Source organism: Homo sapiens, chromosome 2 (assembly GCF_000001405.40).
Source record: "Homo sapiens chromosome 2, GRCh38.p14 Primary Assembly".
NCBI classification, from domain to species: domain Eukaryota; kingdom Metazoa; phylum Chordata; class Mammalia; order Primates; family Hominidae; genus Homo; species Homo sapiens.
Genome location: NC_000002.12, coordinates 17,761,790 through 17,780,555, shown reverse-complemented (window position 1 = coordinate 17,780,555; position 18,766 = coordinate 17,761,790). Strand labels below are relative to the sequence as shown.

Here is an 18,766-nt window from a genome sequence, read left to right as displayed (position 1 = left end):
AAAAAATAAACAGTTCAGAGAGAAATCTCTATGAATAGTTTCTGCCTTTTTTTGATCTCAGTGCATTGCTAGATTATAAAATATTTCCCTCTGAAAACAATGTTATAATTGAGTTGTTTTCCTCACTGAGTTCTGGGAAATAAAGAAAACATTTAAAATCCGAATATGCTATAAACAGTAGCTGCTGAACAACTAGTCAGTATAACTATTATTATTAACACGTGTCTAAGTTAGTAGACAGAACAGAATGATTTATTCCTGGCTTTTCAGCTTTAAAAGAAAGTATGTGAAGACAAAGAAGGAAGAATACAATTCTTGACTTTTGAGTTTATAGATTTTTCAGTAAAATTTAGACACAGCAGATTCAAACAGAAGAGGTGGCTCTTCTATAACATTTGCATGTGGCATAAATAGCTATCAAACCCAAAACTTACGTTTTTGTTTCTTCCCTTTAATTTCTAACTTTTGTTTTTGGTAAACAGCAACGATCTCAGGATATGCTGCTTCAAACAATGATTCTTCCTCAATTGTTAATAAAGCAAATTCTCCATGTTGTTTATCTTCCATAGCATAATGTTCTAAAAGATTAAAAATACAGCAAAGTGTCCTTAATTAGGCATTTAAAAAAATTCAATCGGTCAGGCTTGATGGCTCACACCTGTAATCCCAGCATTTTGGGAGGCCAAGGCGGGCGGATCATGAGGTCAGGAGTTCGAGACCAGCCTGACCAACACCAGACCAGCCCGATCAACATGGTGAAACCATGTCTCTATAAAAAATACAAAAATTAGCCGGGCATGCTGGTGCGTGCCTATAATCCCAGCTACTCAGGAGGCTGAGGCAGAAGAATCACTTGAACCTGGGAGGTAGAGGTTGCAGTGAGCCGAGATCGCACCACTACACTCCAGCCTGGGCAACAAGAGCAAAACTCCATCTCAAAAAAAAAAAAATCAATCTTTCCAGGTAACTAGCTTTATCAGGTAAAATAAATCATTCACAAATGAACTATTCATTGCAAATCTTGCTTTATAACACTATATTCTAACAATCTGTTGATAGCAGTACATAATTTATTTTCTTTTTGCCTGGCAATGGCCGGATGGAGATTCTTTCTAAATTAGAACTTTAAATCCTCTTATTTCAGAGATGGTAGCAGTAGCTGAAAGGACAGAAAACTTTGTTTAGGTAAGGTTGGTTGGTTTAATTCAGTTAAGTGTTAAAATTCCAGGTAAGAAATGAAACAGTTTCCTAAAACTCAACATCAGCTTTCTTTAGTGATAGCTTCTGAAAAGAACACAATTGAAAGGGCCATCAAAAGTATTACTACTTTCCAGGCTGGGCGCAGTGGCTCACGCCTGTAATCCCAGCACTTTGGGAGGCCGAAGTGGGTGGAACACCTGAGGTCAGGGGTTCGAGACCAGCCTGGCCAAAATAACGAAACTCCATCTCTACTAAAAATATGAAAATTAGCCAGGCATGATGGCAGGTGCCTGTAACCCCAGCTACTTGGGAGGCTGAGGCAGGAGAATCACTTGAACCAGGAGGCAGAGGTTGCTGTAAGCCAAGGTGGTGCCACTGCACTCTCCAGCCTGGGCAACAGAGCAAGACTCCGTCTCAAAAAAAAAGTATTATTACTTTCATTTTAAATTATCTGTTTTTCACTATCTCCAGTTTGGGAGCTAATTCAGAGTTCACTGTATTTCTGTCTGGAGCAAAAATAAGAATAATTTGACAATAAAAAATTCCCACTGAAAACTAAGCAGGGTTAAAAAAAAAAAGGAAAGGAAGTGTACCCCAGGAGTATTTTAACAATCTCAATTTTTTCAGATGCAACTATACATGACATTGAATGACCACAGCATTTGTAAAAGCATGTATTTGAGAAATATAAATAAAAATTATTTCGGTATTACTTCCTTAAACATTACAAAAGAAATGTCAAATTGAGACATTAAAATAAAATCAAAGTTTATCATATTTACTATTAGTCAAAACCTATCTAAAATAACACAGGCAAACTATGAAATCAACCTGTGGTGCATGTGATGGGTTTCATCTTTATTTTTCACACACATGCTGTGTGTGTATATACATATATGTACACACATATATGTGTGTGTATATACATATATGTACACACATATATGTGTGTATATACATATATGTACACACATATATGTGTGTGTATATACATATATGTACACACATGTGTGTGTATACATATATGTACACGTGTGTGTGTATATACATATATGTACACACACATGTGTGTGTATATACATATATGTACACACATATGTGTGTATACATATATGTACACACATATATGTGTGTGTATACATATATATACACATATATGTGTGTGTGTATATATATATATACACATATCTATGTGTGTGTGTATATATATATATATACACATATACAATATTTACTAGACATACATGGTCAAATATTATAAATGGAATATTTTGCTTAAAGTGAATACATACCAGGCTTTTCCCATTCTATTTCAAAACAATGAACTCCATTTCTGATTCGAGTCTTAACAATTCTGAAAAACAAATTCATTTAATGAAGTCTAATTGCATAAGATATTTGGAAATTTTCCATTTCTAACCTGAATAATTTCCATAGATTTTTTTTTCCCAGGTAAAAACATTTTAAGGAATTACTGCCTATTCCTTTGACTAGTTTATTCAAAAGATAATATTGTTAGGTACATAGAGTTTATTACTGTTAGTTCTTCTAAGTAAGTTGTTTCTTACCTTATTATGCAGTGTTCCTCATCTTCACAATAATGATTTTTGTTTTAAAATTTGTTATATTACTTTGGTAAGTACAGTATTTGTCTACTAAGTCTTCTTAAATCTCTTTATTTTCAAACTCTGTGTAGTATTATTCTACATGTACCTTGTAAGCTGAATATTGCTGAATTTTATTTACTTATCCAATATAATCTGTCTTTTAATAGGTGAGTTTAATCTGCTTACATTTTTGGTGATTACTGATAAAGCTGCTGGATTCATTCATGCACCTTATTTTGTTTGCTGTCACCAGCTTTTTCTTTGTTACTTCCATCTTCCTTCTGCCTGTATTATTTTGGTTTGATAGTTTTACTTTCTTATTTTAATTGTACTGGTTTGGAAGACAGAGATTATATTTCTAGCAGGTACTCTTAAGTGTTTGAATGCATACTTTGGGAGTTTTGGCTTATCATCATCATCATCATGTATTAATCATTAAATATTATACAAATATTTATATACATAATTTTTTCTAGTCAGTTTATTAAATTATCCAAATACGTTTTAATCAATTCCTGGGCTGACCACTGTTTCTTGTAATTCACATCTTCCCTCTGTGTTCATTTTTTTTCTTGCTGAAGTATATCCTTTAACAACACTTTAAAAAATAAATTATCCTTTTTTTTTTGAGTCTTGCTCTGTTTGCTCAGGCTGGAGTGCAGTGGCACCATCTCAGCTCACTGTAACCTCTGCCTCCTGGGTTCAAGAGATTCTCGTGCCTCAGCATCCCAAGTAAATGGGATTACAGGCATGTACCACCAGGTCCAGCTAATGTTTTGTATTTGTAGTAGACAGGTGTTTTCGCTATGTTGGCCAGAATGGTCTAGAATCCCTGGCCTCAACTGATCCGCCTGCTTTGGTCTCCCAAAGTGCTAATCCAGGCATAAACCACCACGCCCAGCCCTTTAACTGCACTTTTAAGGAAGGTTTGAGTGGTAAACTCTCTTACTCTTCATATGTTTAAAAACGCTTTTCCTATGAATAATGTTTTAATGATTTCAAGGTTGTAAATTATTTTTACTCGGTACTTTGAAACATCACTCCAGCATCTTCTGGCATCTATTACGGTTATGAAAGATGTGTGCTATCAGATAGCTGATCTTTTTTCTTTTATACTTCCCAGCAAACTGTTTATTCTGAAAAATTTCAAACCTTTATAAAAGTTGCAAAAATAGTACAATGAATACTCACATACTTTTACTGAGATTCATCAATTGTTAACATTTTATCACATTTGCTTTCTCCATTTGCAAGTTAGTTGCAAACATGTCTCATGGCACATCACCCCTAAATACTGCAGCCTGTCTATGTAGAGTATTTTCCTACATTGCCACAAAAAACTTTCACACTCTGGAAGTTTAACAATGATACAATATAGACCATATTCAAATTTCCCCAATTGTCCTAAAAAAAAGGTCCTTTATGACTTAAAAACAATTCAGAATTCAATCAGGATCATTTTTCTTGAATTGTGTTGTCTCTTTATTTTAATCCAGAAAACTACCTAGATATTTTTTATTTTTGAAGAGTCCAGGATAATAGCTCCACAGAACGTTTTTCACTTGGATTCATTAGATTGTTTCCTCATGATTAGATACAGATTAAACTTTCCTTTTTTTTTTTTTTTTTTTTTGAGACAGGGTCTCACTCTGTCACCAAGTTTGGAGTGCAGTGGTATGAACTCAGCTCACTGCAACCTCCACCTCCCAGGCTCAAGCAATCCTCCCAACTCAGCCTTCCAAGTAGCTGGGATCACAGGTGCTCTCCACCACGCCTGGCTAATTTTTTGTATTTTTGGAAGAGATGGGTCTTGAACTCCTGAGCTCAGTCGATCCACCGGCCTCAGTCTCCCAAAATGCTGCTGGGATTACAGGTGCGAGCCACCACGCCCCACCTAGCTCAAGCTTTTTTGGCAAAAATATTATATGATAATGTAGTATCTTTCTCAGTTTAACGTATTAGAAAGCATATGAAAGCAGTCTATTGTTCTTTTATTGGTAATTAATCACTGAGTTAAACTGATGTCCACTGGATTTCTCCACTTTTGAAGATACCATTTTTCCTTTGTAATTAATCTGTAGAGCGGTACTTGAGACTGTGACTATCCTTTCTCTGCAGCAATCTTTCATCTAATGGTTTTAACATCCATTGATGATTGTTGCCTGATTGGTTTGGTACTTTTTAAAATATTCCTTTTATCGTTGATGTCTACAATATGCCTTGGGTATTTCATGTATTGCGACTATAATTTGTAGTATAACTATCTGTCTTAAATTTTGGAAAACTCTCAGACATCATCTCTTCAAAAATTACTTTTCAACCTTTTCTTTTATTAGCTTCTAGGAACTAATCCAAAACTACTCTTAAGCATTTTTTATATGAGAGTCTTTGAGATCATTTCTGTGTGACTTGATTTGTCTTCCAAATCACTAATTTTTTTGGACCAAGTTTAGCCTAGAGACCCCTTGATTGCTTTTTATTTCAACAACTATTTTTAAGCTAATAGTTCACTTTTTATATCCATCCATTTACACACATTTTTATAATTTTGCCTTCTGTTGCTTACAGACATATGTCTTCATCTTTTTGAGGATTCTAGCATTCTGAAAGGCCAACCACACCCACCCCTTGCATAAAACCTGTCAGACTGTTTTAAAACTTAATTTAATCCGAAGTGAATTCATGACGCAATTGTTGATTTTAAAAATATTATATTTCTTTATATGTTAAGCTTTCTTCTTCAATTCTTTTATATTTTATCTGTCTTCACTTCTATCTCTCTAGTCTCTTTGAGTAATTTCCAGTGGGCTTTCTGGGCTTCAGGCAGCATTTGGTTAGTTTTTTATTATCTACCCCAGCCTCTAATCTCCTGATAGGAACAGAGAAATTCCACCCTAGCTACTGGGTTTCAAGAAATAAGCCTGACTCCATCAACATCTTGCACTTTTGGTCCCCATTTTTTTTTTTTTCTCTGAAGCGATTTACCTCCTGGATGATACGGCTGCTTCTAGATTTAAGGCTCTGCAAAACCAGTTTTAGTTCCCACATTCCCTTAACACGTTTGTTCCTTTTCTGGTCCACTGAAATAGTTGTCTTATAAAGCCTGGCTATATCCTTTTATGCTTGTTTCTTTTTATAATCTATTATTACTATGTGTTTGAAGTAGAAAAGTATGATAAAGCATGACTTACTATGTTGTTCTGATTATAAGCCCTGAATAAGCTTTTAATATTCCAGGAGGCCTTTCCTCCACCTTTACAAAAACGAGCTTAAAGATATTAGGAATATTTTAATTATAAAATACTCAAGTAAAAACACCACCTTCACCATACAGTTCTTTACATTACCGAATTGGCTGTAGTTGATTAGAGTTTCTGCTACCAAGCTTTCTTTCTATCATGTCATAATGGGTCAAAAGTACCAGCAATTTCTCACATGCATAGTGATTGGGCCACTCCATTTTTTCAAGAGTAAATCTCTATAAATATAATAAAAATAAAACAAGATTTTGTTATCTCTTGGAGACAAATAGCACTCCTAGGTGATATTAATATTTTTTCCTTTAGAATTAACGTAAGTTAAAGTAGTATCAATGAGAATATTCTAGAAACAATGAGCCTCCTAAGGAAGAATCATTATTGCATAATGATTAAGAGTGAAGGCTCTCGGTTTGAACGCCAGGATGATATTTCTTAGATGTTGGGTAACTTACTTAAACTCTCTTAGCCTCAGTTTTACCATCTGTAATGTGAAAATATTACAACCCACTTCACAGATTACAAAGATTGAGATTACATGCAATGCATTAAACATAACAGCAAATTTAAATGTCTAACAAATGTTGGCTGTCATTATTAATGTGGCTGTCGTTCTTAATGTGGCTGTCATTACTTACAGCTGGTACTTGTAAGTACCCAGTTGTTGCAATTTATTGAGCCACTCCGTGTCCCTAGCCACTATATTAGGAGTTAATATAAATAATCTCATTTAATCCTCATGGTGACTTTATGAGATAAGTAATATTATTTCTGTTTTGAGAATAACACACATCCAGGGTCACACAGTAGGTGGAATACGGTCCAAATTTAAATTTAGGTCATTAATTTCAGATATCAATGTTTTTGTAAATGATACTACCTTCCATAATTATATACTTGATCTTAACATTCTCTTGTTATTAAACCCTCTTCCCCCAAAATATCCATGGATGCAATATATCCACATATGCTAATTAAGGCATCTTCTAAAACAGCATAACTATACTTTGTCTTATAGTGTGCAAAGATGGCCACTGTATGGCAAATGAGAGAGTAGAAATAAATGCTGAAAAAATATAAGAGCTGCCTGTTTTAATTTTAAACCTCCTCTAAGACCAATCAGAGTGAATATCTGTTCCTATCTTTCCAGCATATAACTTCATACAGTAAAGAAGAATTTATTTTCAGATACCTGAAACAATAACAAATCAGGTCTTTGGTACCTGATAACCTTCACCAATTTATCCTTGTTTAAAAGGAATTCTTGAATAACCTAGCAAGAAAAAAGAAAATAGAAACTGAGATTTAAACTTTTAAGAAAGTTTCTAAAATTAATAGAGTTGAATTACTGGATATTACCTCATGGAATGGGAATCCCTCACAACAGCAAGCTTTCCTGAAAAAAAAATTATATACATGTTATTACTATAATCAGACAATTTTAGACTCTGAAATCATCTCAGCCAATCTCCTCCCATTTAATAAGAAATGTGAATTTACAGTATCCCAAACAGTCAAGCTTCCCTTTGAATAACTATTACATTACTATCTCCTAGGTTAGCTAAATTTTTGAACAGAAATGAAAAAAAAATTTAGTTAAACATGTGACTAATCTAGATATGGGGAAAGATTATATGGAAATAATTCAACCAAAGGTATGTGTATAGGTCATGCCAGGAAAAATCATGAGTTTTTAAAAAAACTTACTTCTTAATATTGTTCTCTACTTCACTGAGTTGCCTATCATGTTCTGTACGGTGCCACTCACAAGGACAGCAGTATTCATAGTCATGTGGCTCACAATATTTATCACTTTTACATAATCTGCATCCATTACGTTCATGATCCTTAGGTGAACCTTTATGGAGACCCAAAAAAAGTATAATATTTTTTGCCTTTTATAATTACTTTCTACATACATTCTTTTTGCCAGTATCTAAATTTTCCAAAATTAATATTGCCTAGCACACTACCTAGCATATAGAAAGGTTTCAATACATTTAGGATGAATAGAGTAATAGACACCATAGTAATTCTTGGGCTCAAGTAGATCTTGAGCTATTACTATCACATGACACTTTAGAAAAAATTATTCTTCTATCTGAAAGTGTTAATTAGACACTTGAAATTATACATTTACAATAATCAACAACAGAAAACTTTCTGGTTTAGGTGGAAGCTACATGCATAAAAAGTAGGATGTAATTACTAGCAAAAAAGATTATTTACTTAATAGAATAGCTCTAATAGAATAGTTTCTTTAACGAGTGTATTAAAAGAATATAGCAGTTAATTACCTCTGCTAGTGTCTAGCTCTCAGTTACAGTTATTTTTAAACTATCCTTGGAACATGAACAAATGATGACTGTGGCACGGGTGTGGAAATTTAATTCCCTTTAAAAGCAAAGTGTGATTACTTTCAACATTGTCTTGAGAATATGTAAGAGCACATATACTTGATATGACCTAAAATTGTCATTTATAAGTTATCAAAAAACTATACAATAGCATCTTATTTATAAAAACATTGATTTTCTTCCATGATTTTATCTATAATTTAATAATGTTAATAAAAATATATTAAGACAACTAGATATAGCAGAATTTCTTTTAAAAGATGAGTTAACATGATATCCTAATCTCTTTTGGGAATGAAAGGCCTTTCTGATCCAGTACGTGTTCCGTAGTGTCTTTTTTTTTTTTAAACCAAGACTAATGAAGAAGATCCAAGCTATTTTCAAGAATAGTGAACATGTATTAGAAATTAGTTTTAAGTCACTGTCTTCACACACAAAATGCATTACAGGACAATGAAGAATCATTTAAGTAGATAAATATAAATCACCAATATATTAACAAATGGTTTCAGTTCCATTTTCCCTAAGACTTATTAGTATATATTTTTTTCTTAAAATGGATTTCTATATTGAAAACATAGTTTTAAGATCTAAGTAATTTGGTATCATAGTTTGAAACTGTACTTATATTTATCATCTACATCACATTATTGGTTTCAATAAACATTTACTGAGTGACTACTATGTGTATATAACAAAACTGACTGCAAGGAATTCCTAATCTAGTGGAGAAGACAATGTAAAACCCTTCAAAGTATTATTAATATTGGCATGTAAAAAGTACTATGTGAACAAGAATTAAAACATGGGTATGAGATACTAATAACCATTCCCTATGTCTCCTTACCTGGATGGGAACATACGGAACAATGAGCCAGTTTTTTAGTGACTAGCAGTTGTGGACTAGAGTTACAAGATGTTTCATTCCACCGATTAAACCTTTAATAGAAAGTGGTTTTTAAAAAAAGGAAAAAAAATGAGGTCACAAAAACGGTATGTTCTCAAATATCAGGCTGATCTATTCCCTTTCACCTACCTAATTATTTTCCCTTTGGTGGCTGATAAAGTTGCTGGCCTAGTGTGGGAAAACCCTCAGTCACAAGCTTTAAATGTGGCCCCAAGGCCCAAGGACAGCAGAACTGCAAGACAGGAGAGAGAGTATATGTGTGTGTGTATCTATATATCGGTATCTCTATTAAAAAAAATTGTATATATATATATGTATGTATATATATATCCAATCAGTCTTTTTTTTTTGAAGAATCTTAAGTTAGGCAGCAGTATGTGAGCAGACTGACTCTGTGTGCCAGAGTACAAAACAGAATCATGAACATTTCTCTATATCAGAAAGAAGAGTAAAGAGTAATATATAAAATTAAATAAAACATTAATCTTCTGGGTGAAAACTGTATCAAAAAGCTAAATCATGTAAAATAATCATTTCTTAATCTCTTGTGCAAAGAGCAAAACATTACCTGCTTCATAAAAGATTTTAAGAAAAATGTATAGTACTATAAAGATTTCTACTAATTAAAAGTTAATTTCGTTTTTGGCTAAAGTTCCAGGTTAACATAAAGCCACAAAGGGTATGGTTAGGTATTAATCATAAAACGTATGTGTTCTGAATTATGTTCCTCTACTTAAACAAGTTGAAGTTTTTATAAAAGCTAAATTATCTCTTCAGGTCATTGTGCAGTATCTGGTACTTAAGAGTTACTATTTAGCTTCTGGAATTTCTAATTCATTTACTACAAAGACCAAGTACAAGCCTGTTAAAAATTAGCATTAATTGCTTCCAGATAAAGAATAGCACGGCAAAAATTAAAAATAACTGAGAGGAAAAGTCAGTATATAAAACAGAATAATAGATAATTATAAAATAAATGTAATTTTATTATTTTCAAGTGTCAACAGTGCTTATTTGCTGAAACTGTTTCAATAAGAATGGTTTGGAGTTAGCCAGGTGTTATATTCACTTGCTTTTCCTTCTTTATATTATTTTTTACAATTCCCAAATGATTCCTTAACTCACACCCAGGCCAAATTATACCTTTCCTTTCTTGCTTGGGCACAGTAATAACTGATGTCAATAATGGATTTACTGAAGTCTTACATTTATCAACAGTTTTACAGCTAAAAGAGAAGTATCATAGGAAAGAATACAGTGATTTGATGTATTTTTTATGGTCATTCCTTTTTCATTTTTACCTCTTAACATTTTTTTCAGGCACTTGCCATCTCGAACCTGCTGGAGGCCAAGACTGTTTTAAGTTTCCCAGTGTCCTAGTTCCTTTCTTATTGATTCTATACCTATCATCATTAATATTAATTTTTATAAAACATTGCTTTCATCAGCAAATATAATTCATGTGTTTTTGAGATAGTAAATAGCATAGTTTGTTAACTTCTATATAATCTGCATCTTGTTCTGAATCCTCCAACTATAGAGACTAAACGAATTAATGTTATTATTAAATATGTAGCTATAAAGCAAAGGCCAGTCGAGTAAGATTTCAATTAATGTTGCTTATTATTAAATATTTACAACACGCCACAGACATTTCATTTATAGAAAGAAAATACAATATCAAAGTATTAAATACAAAATTATTTTAATGTCATGTTTATCTTTACCTTTTGGTAAAAGGGTTTAAAATAGCTAGTGGCAAAATGCCCATGGTCATACATAAATGCACTTGACATTGTACTAAATGTGTTTAGTGAGCTAATAATAGATTTTTTAAAATGCAGTATGGTGGCTGGGCACCGTGGCTCATGCCTGTAATCCTAACACTTTGGGAAACCAAGGCAGGGGGATCACTTGAGCCCAGGAGTTCAAGACCAACCTGGGCAACATAGGGAGACCCTATCTCTACAAAAAAAAAAATTAAAAATTAATATATTAACATGTTTAATATAAATAATATGTATATTTTAAATGTAGTATGGTGGCTGGGCACAGTGGTGCATATCTGTTGTCCCAGTTACTCAGGAGGCTGAAGTAGGAGGATCACTTGACTCCGGCAGGTTGAGATTGCAGTGAGCAGTGATTGCGCCACTGCACTGCAGCCTAGGCGACACAGTGAGACCTTGTCTCCAAAAAAAGAAAAAAAAATGCAATACGGCTTGGAACATGTATTCTCATCCTTCCTTTGGAAAATTTCAAAATAAATAAAAATAAATTATCTTAAATCAAACAAAATATAGGTCAGTTTAAAAATACAAAACCCTTTTTTGGAAAACAATTGTTTCCTGTACTATTCGTTATTAAGTTCAGCAAGAATAAAGGTTCAATGTCACAAGAGAAAGTAATTATTAGTTACCTCTGAAGTAAACTTTGCCCTTTCAAAATCTGTATAAGTTTTAATGCTTGCTCTTTTCCAACTCCAGGGACTCCCTTTCAGAAAGTGGGAAAAAAAATAATTCCAATGTTAATCACTAGGAATGGTTAAAAGTATATTAATTGAACGGAAGAGTCAGCAGCTGAAAGAATGAGGTAACTCTTCAATAAAGATAGGAAAAGATATGCAAGATACACTGCTATGCATAAAACAAAAACTTCACAATAGTGTATATGATCAGGATTTGTAAAGTAAATGACAATTACACTGTTATCTATGTAAACAAAAATTTCAGCGAGTTATATACCAAACCACTGATGGTGTTTATTTTAGGGAAGGGAGGGTCATAATTTTAGAGGGCTTTCATTTACTATGTTAATTATTTGGATAATATTTTAATTTAACCTAACTTTATGTTTGTAATCAGGAAAAAGCAAGTTCATTTAATTACATGAACATTTAATATTCCAAAACCCAGACATAAACAGAGAACGAAGGAACGTTTTAAGTTAACTCTTGAAATTAAAAACTTAAGAAAATTTAAAGTGTGAATTTCCAATATACGAAAATGATATGCCTTAATGTATATTCCTGTCACAATTTCTGATTTAAACTGAGTCTTCCAGCCCCTATAAGTGTATGAATATGTCCTTATAAGCAGAGCTGTTATTTAACCAGTACACACTAGGATTTACACACTCGTGTTAACTGGTTAGTAAATAGCTACTGCCCAAGCATTCTGAGTATCTGCCTGCACAGGAATGTCCCATCTAACCTGAATACTTCCCAATCCACCTATACCCAGAATCCAGCTACTAAAAAGAGAGTCTATGGCACAGCAGGGATACCCAGAAGTCTCTTCCATCTCTATTGCCTATGTCTTTGGCATACACGTTATTAGATATCTTGAATATCATTCTTCTTGTATTAGCATTAGCTTTAAGTTTTTGAAGGCAAATCAAGTTAGTACATAGTCTTAAAAGTCTTTAAGTAGAACAATGTAAATACATAGCAGTTTTGGTTTTAAAAAACACAAAAGGTCAATATAGCTATGGCTAATGCATAATTTAAATACCACTGTAGCTAAAGTTGGTTTCTGTGAGTTCAAGTCAGCAAATTTTTTCTTAAATTAAACATTGGGCTGTTTATAGATTTTAATTATGATATAATTTTATTTAGGAAATCGTCTTTTACTTTAGAAGGAGAATTACAAAATAATGGTTTGTGGTATTTAAAAGTTTCTTTCCTCCTGCTTTCTTTTCCTCACAGTTTAAAAAAAGTTCTTTGATGATATAAATTACAAATTAGGCTTAATAATTTTATTACCCTGCTATATTTTCCTTTCTCCTGAGCTCAGATGGAAAAAAAATTACATGTCATTCTTCTTTATACTTCTCTTGGGAATAGAGGTAAAATGACGGATTGTAAGGATACAGAAATAATCAGTAGGAACATAATAAGGGAACTACATAGTAAGACCTACAATACCAGTCATTTTCTATTTTTAAACACTACATTTAAAAAAATGGGATTATTCTCATAATACTTAACTCATCACTCACCTGTTATACCTATTTGTTACAGAGCACTAGATTGTGCATCTTAAGATACAAATATTTCCATGAACAAAACCCAGCACAACGCTGAGAGGCATGGAAATATGAATGGCTTATCCCAATGATCACGTGACTTAGCAACAGTAATAGCATTGAGCATGTGCACAAAGAATACTGAAAACTAAAAAACAGAAAAAAGAGTGAAAGAAACAATGGCATAATACAAGAAAAGAATAACTCCTATATTTATTTAAAAAGATAGTCAAACATAAATGTGAATCTCTTAATCTAGAGTAACAGTTTACTGAGATTCAAGCTGTGGTACTACATTATTCTATTCTTGCTTATAATATTAAGTGTCACAAGTCAGCTTTTTAGTGCCATCTGAAATGCCGATTATTTTAGTCACTGAATAGCTTATTATGCCTGAAATTATATTTTAAATTCGATTTTTAATCATATAGCCATATTATATTCATATTTATACAGCACATAAAGTACGAAAAAGACTTTATGAATAGCAAATAAATATGACAATTTCAGCTTACCTTTGGGAGATAATCACAGCCAAGAAGTATTGCTAATCCAACCAGAGCATCTCTATCCAAACCTAGTTTACTCTTGATAGATGACATTGTGTAACAGTCAACATGTGGGTCCTAAAGAAAGAACAGATTTAGTTTAATCCTCAAAAAGTACATATTTATACATTAAACCACATTACAAAAATAATTTGTCAATGTTATCTTTAAATGTTTAATTATTCCAGGCTGGGCATGGTGGCTCATGCCTGTAATCCCAGCACTCTGAGAGGCCAAGGTGGGTGTATCACTTGAGGTCAGGAGTTTGAGACCAGCCTGGCCAACATGGTGAAACCCCATCTCTACTAAAAATACAAAAAAATTAGCCAGGCGTGGTGGCATGTGCCTGTAGTCCCAGTTACTTGGGAGGCTGAGGCACAAGAATTACTTGAAGCCAGGAGGAGGAGGTTGCAGTGAGCTGAGATCACACCACTGCATTTCAGATTGGGTGACACAGTGAGACTACGTCTCAAAAAAAGAAAAAAAGTTTAATTATTCCAAAAACTTTATATAAGAAAATTATCCTGATCAGCAGAATCTTTATAGAATCTGACATTTCAATATATGAAAATAAAGTTGTAGTTTCAAAAATGGCTTAAAAATAACTATGCTAGCCAATTTTTTCCATTTTATTGCTTTCTGGTGTCTAAAAAATGTAGATTTCCATCTTACAAAATAAAACACTGTAACATATATATATATATATATTATAGAAAGTAAACATTCCCCGTAACTGCACTGCCTGAGCTATCATTAATAGCTTGGTGCATATTCTTCCAAAAAACCATCTCCTTTGATACATATATATGAATATTTATTGTTAATTACGTTTTTTAAGTAAAAGTAGGATTATATAAAAATACTATTTTGAGAAATTTTCCACCATTAATATGTCTGGATATCTTTTATGTCAATAATAGCCTTTTCAATGACTGCACTGTATTACATCATATGGACTCTGAAACAGTGTTTCTCAATGGGGGTGCTAATATTAGCATTTCGGGAGGGATAGCAGAAATGTCTGGCAGAAGGTTTAGTTTGGTTGGCACCAAGCCATCACATATCTATACTCTCCTTTGCCCAAGCCTGAACTGTTGCAACCAAAATGTCTCCCAGCAGTATCTCTCCAACTGGGAACCAGTAAGTGTGAAGGATTTAACCATGTCCCTATCAATGAGCACTCGGGCTGCTTGCCAAATTTTTGTAATTATTAACAATGCTACATTGAACATCTTTATATCTCTCTCTTTGCATATTTGGAGGTATTTCTGAGGATGAAACACTAAACTGGAAATTCAGGATCAAAGCAACACATTTTCATATGCAATTCGTGATGTATTTTTGAAAATGATTTAGAATCAAACCATGTGAAACAAACAAGTCAAGTTCTTATGAGATAAATCCACATTTTGAAGAGAATGAACTATGTGGCAATGATTTTTAATAACAGTAAGCATTTTAATTAGCAATTGCTACGTGCAAGGCATTACAGTAAGCATTTTATATCTACTATTTCATTTAATCAGCCCTTTAAAAAAGGTAGTTCGTAAACAAATGCTGAAAAAGAGAAAGAAAATAAACACCTTTGTATTCATAGTGAAATTCCTGTAAACAGTCTGGGCCCCATAAAGGAAAGTATCTCCATCATTGGTGAGGCAGCCATCGACATGACCACCAGCATTGAGATAAGCACACATGGCTTCAGCTTCCCCAGCAGCCTGAACCCAGGGGATTCCTAAGCATTCGAGCATATGGAGGCACTGAAAACAAAAAGCAGGTGCAAGATGTTAAAGAATGTTTTCACTGCTCATTTATTTACTATTAAACCTATTTCTGTATTACAAATATTAATAGTAGCTATTTTGGTGTTTTAAAAATTACGATATTTAAGAAACACTTGGAAATTTGAACAATGACTGAATATTTGAGGGCTTTAAGGAATGAACTGCCAAACTTTTACGTGTGCTAATAAAAATTATATTGTGGTTATGTTTCTTTTTATTTTTTAGGAATCATCTTTTAGAAAACATGAAATACAGGGAATGATACAATATTATGTCTACGATTTGCTTCAAAATGATGTGTGGATAGGGGAATAGATGAAACAAGATGAGCCAAGATAATGGTTTAAGATTAGTGATGGGTTACTTTTGTGTTGATTTAAATTTTCTGTAATAAAAAATTAAGATTTTAATGTTAATTACAAAGTAATCCATATTCACATTTCATTGCTATTATAGTCAGATTCTGAAAATATCTTTAAATAATAATTAATCATATTAAGATTTACATCTAGAAGACTTCAATAATTTTTCTCACATGATGGTCAACCCAATACGCGTACTTCCAAAGAAGATGCTATCATACAGTTTTGGCTTGAATTTTAATGTTTGCATTTTTTTCTCATCTTGCCTTCCCTGTACAATGAAACTCTCGTATTGTGGGAAACTGCGGAGAAGTCAGCTGTCAGTGTCCTCCTAGGAAATCAAATGTTTGTGCAGAATGATTACATCATTTTGCTGATGCACAAATAATTTGCTGTGACTTTCCTCTGGTTTATGAATTTAACCCCGCTGGGTAGCTTGTAGTCTGGCCTTATAGCCTAGTTCATTCTTTCTTGTAATACGCCATTCTTTTTTGTCATGTATCATTCTCTATCAGGGACTACTGAGTATGGTGGGGAGAAAAGGCTACTTACTTGTAGTTTCTAGAGACTGACAGAATAAATACCATTTCTTGCTTTGATTAATCACTTCCACGCCACATTACATAATAACTACCACTGTCAGATGTTGCCCAAGGCAGACAAGGTTCAAAAAGTCAAAGTACTATGTTGAAAAATATCACTTTTCAGGACGCTGGCCCCGTGATTTTAGAGAGACAGTTTTGTGACAGTGTTGCTTCGACCTTACCCCTAGGTAAAAAATAGCCTTTCATAATACAGTTATTTCAACTTCTTGTACTATTTGCCACTTCAAATTTTTTCAAAGAACCAGCACAGAATTTCCTATAAGGCTGTTGCAATTTTTCCCACTCTATGTCTCTACCATGTGGGGTGGAGGTGGTATTGGAGGACTACTAATTTGTGCTTTTCATGCGAATACCTAAAAGATAGCAGTGGATTAGGAGGAAGCAGGGCCTAGTAACTGAAGAGTACAGAAATATAAAAATGACTAACAGGCAATACTGAACTGACACAAAATGCCTAAGAACACCATAATTACTGCAGCAATAAAGAAACAGGAATGGAGCAATTTTCTTAAGAAGAGATGGACATCTCTTTTTTTGTTTTATGCTGGTTCTTTAACACTCTAAGATTGAGGACCATGAATATTTCCAGGAATTGATTATACAAGAAGTAATTAGAACTTAGCACAGATATTTTCTTCAACTGCTGATAGTCATTAGGGTGGAATATTCACTAATTGAAAACTATTTTTAAAAGTGAGTAGAAAATAAAATTTCAGAAGAGGAGAAAAATGGCATAATTTTTTAACTAAAATTAAAAAGAAAAACAAATTCAAAGCAAATATGATAGAAGCTTATATCCTTAATACATAAAGAACTTGCACAAAAGAAAAATTAAAACCTCAAGAGGTAAGTAGGTAAAGGACATGATGATAGCCATTACCCAAAGGGAGACTAAAAATAGATGAAATGTTTAACATTACTATTAAAAGACAAATGCATATTAAATATCTTTGTTGTTGCACACTAAATATTACAAAGACAAGCCTCCTAACATCCAATGTTCTTGTGAGTGCACCGACACTGCTTCTCTGACATCTGCATTAGCAGAAATTAATCAGCAAGAGCAATAAAATCATTCCAAAACTTTGACCCATCAATCCAACATTGGGTAATTTTATCTAAAATTTCAAATCACAAGAAAACATTATATACACAAAAAATGTTAATCACACTTCCATGTATAGTAGAGAAAAACTAAAAAAGTAAATAACATATACAATCAGGGGTATGATTCATAGCTTCATACATGTTGCACAACCACTACAAGTTATGATTTTGATTAGAATGTGACAAAAGGGAAATATGACAACATGAAGCATTAAGTGAAAAGGCTAGGTTAAAAATCATGTGTACTACTACAACTCTTTAAAAATACACACATTTGAAAACAGACAAAAAAGGCCAGGCACAGGGGCTCACACCTGTAATCCCAGCACTTCAGGAGGCCGAGGCAGGCGGATCACGAAGTCAGGAGATCGAGACCATTCTGGCTAACACAGTGAAACCCTGTCTCTACTAAAAAAAAAACAAAAAAAACTTAGCCAGGTGTGGTGGCGGGCGCCTGTAGTCCCAGCTACTCGGGAGGCTGAGGCAGGAAAATGGTGAGAACCCAGGAGGCGGAGCTTGCAGTGAGCCGAGATTGCGCCACTGCACTCCAGCCTGGGTGACAGAGCGAGACTCCATCTCAAAAAAAAAAAAAAAACAACCAAAAAAAGAAAACAGAAAAAAAAAAGCTTCCTATTGTTTTAATTATATACTATAGATGATTTCTTTCTTAAGTTTCATACAAATATAAAATATAGCAATATTAAAGTAACATATAAATAATATATTATAATGTAACGACAGTTTTTAAAATTACAAGCCCTAAGGGAAGCCAAATATATATTCTGTATATGAACTATCATGAATTCTGAATGAGTGAAGTACGAATTAATGAGATCTCATGTATTCTGGGACTTCTTTAAGTCCTGAAGGTGTTATAAAAGGTAATATGATCAAGTTCCTACCATGTACTAGTTGCTTTAGATATACTTTCTCTTATTTTTATCACATCCCTGCTGAGTATTACTGTTGTCATTTCACAAGGTAACATACAAGGTAGAGATAGGTTACA

At 33.3% G+C, this 18,766-nt stretch overlaps 1 protein-coding gene and 1 long non-coding RNA gene across 14 annotated transcripts in view; one reads left to right on the top strand and one right to left on the bottom strand.

The window, feature by feature from the left end:
• The window catches only part of LOC105373449 (uncharacterized), a 35,858-nt gene extending 19,759 nt beyond the window's left edge, over positions 1-16,099 (top strand). Inside the window, exon 4 of the long non-coding RNA XR_939762.3 lies at positions 15,909-16,099. This is a non-coding gene — a long non-coding RNA (uncharacterized LOC105373449). The remainder of the gene's footprint in view (positions 1-15,908) is intronic.
• GEN1 (GEN1 Holliday junction 5' flap endonuclease) overlaps positions 1-18,766 on the bottom strand; it is a 35,669-nt gene that overhangs the window by 8,391 nt on the left and 8,512 nt on the right. For 8 of the 13 annotated variants that reach the window (XM_011532822.3, XM_011532820.3, NM_182625.5 and 5 more), the window contains 10 exons: positions 15,483-15,659; positions 13,867-13,977; positions 11,745-11,818; positions 9,269-9,360; positions 7,772-7,922; positions 7,424-7,460; positions 7,257-7,337; positions 6,155-6,285; positions 2,493-2,554; positions 435-578 (listed from right to left, as the gene is read on the bottom strand). In XM_011532822.3, coding sequence (XP_011531124.1) covers positions 435-578; positions 2,493-2,554; positions 6,155-6,285; positions 7,257-7,337; positions 7,424-7,460; positions 7,772-7,922; positions 9,269-9,360; positions 11,745-11,818; positions 13,867-13,977; positions 15,483-15,659 — 1,060 coding nt within the window. The other 5 variants (XM_047444156.1, XM_047444157.1, XM_047444155.1 and 2 more) reach the window with 5 other exon arrangements.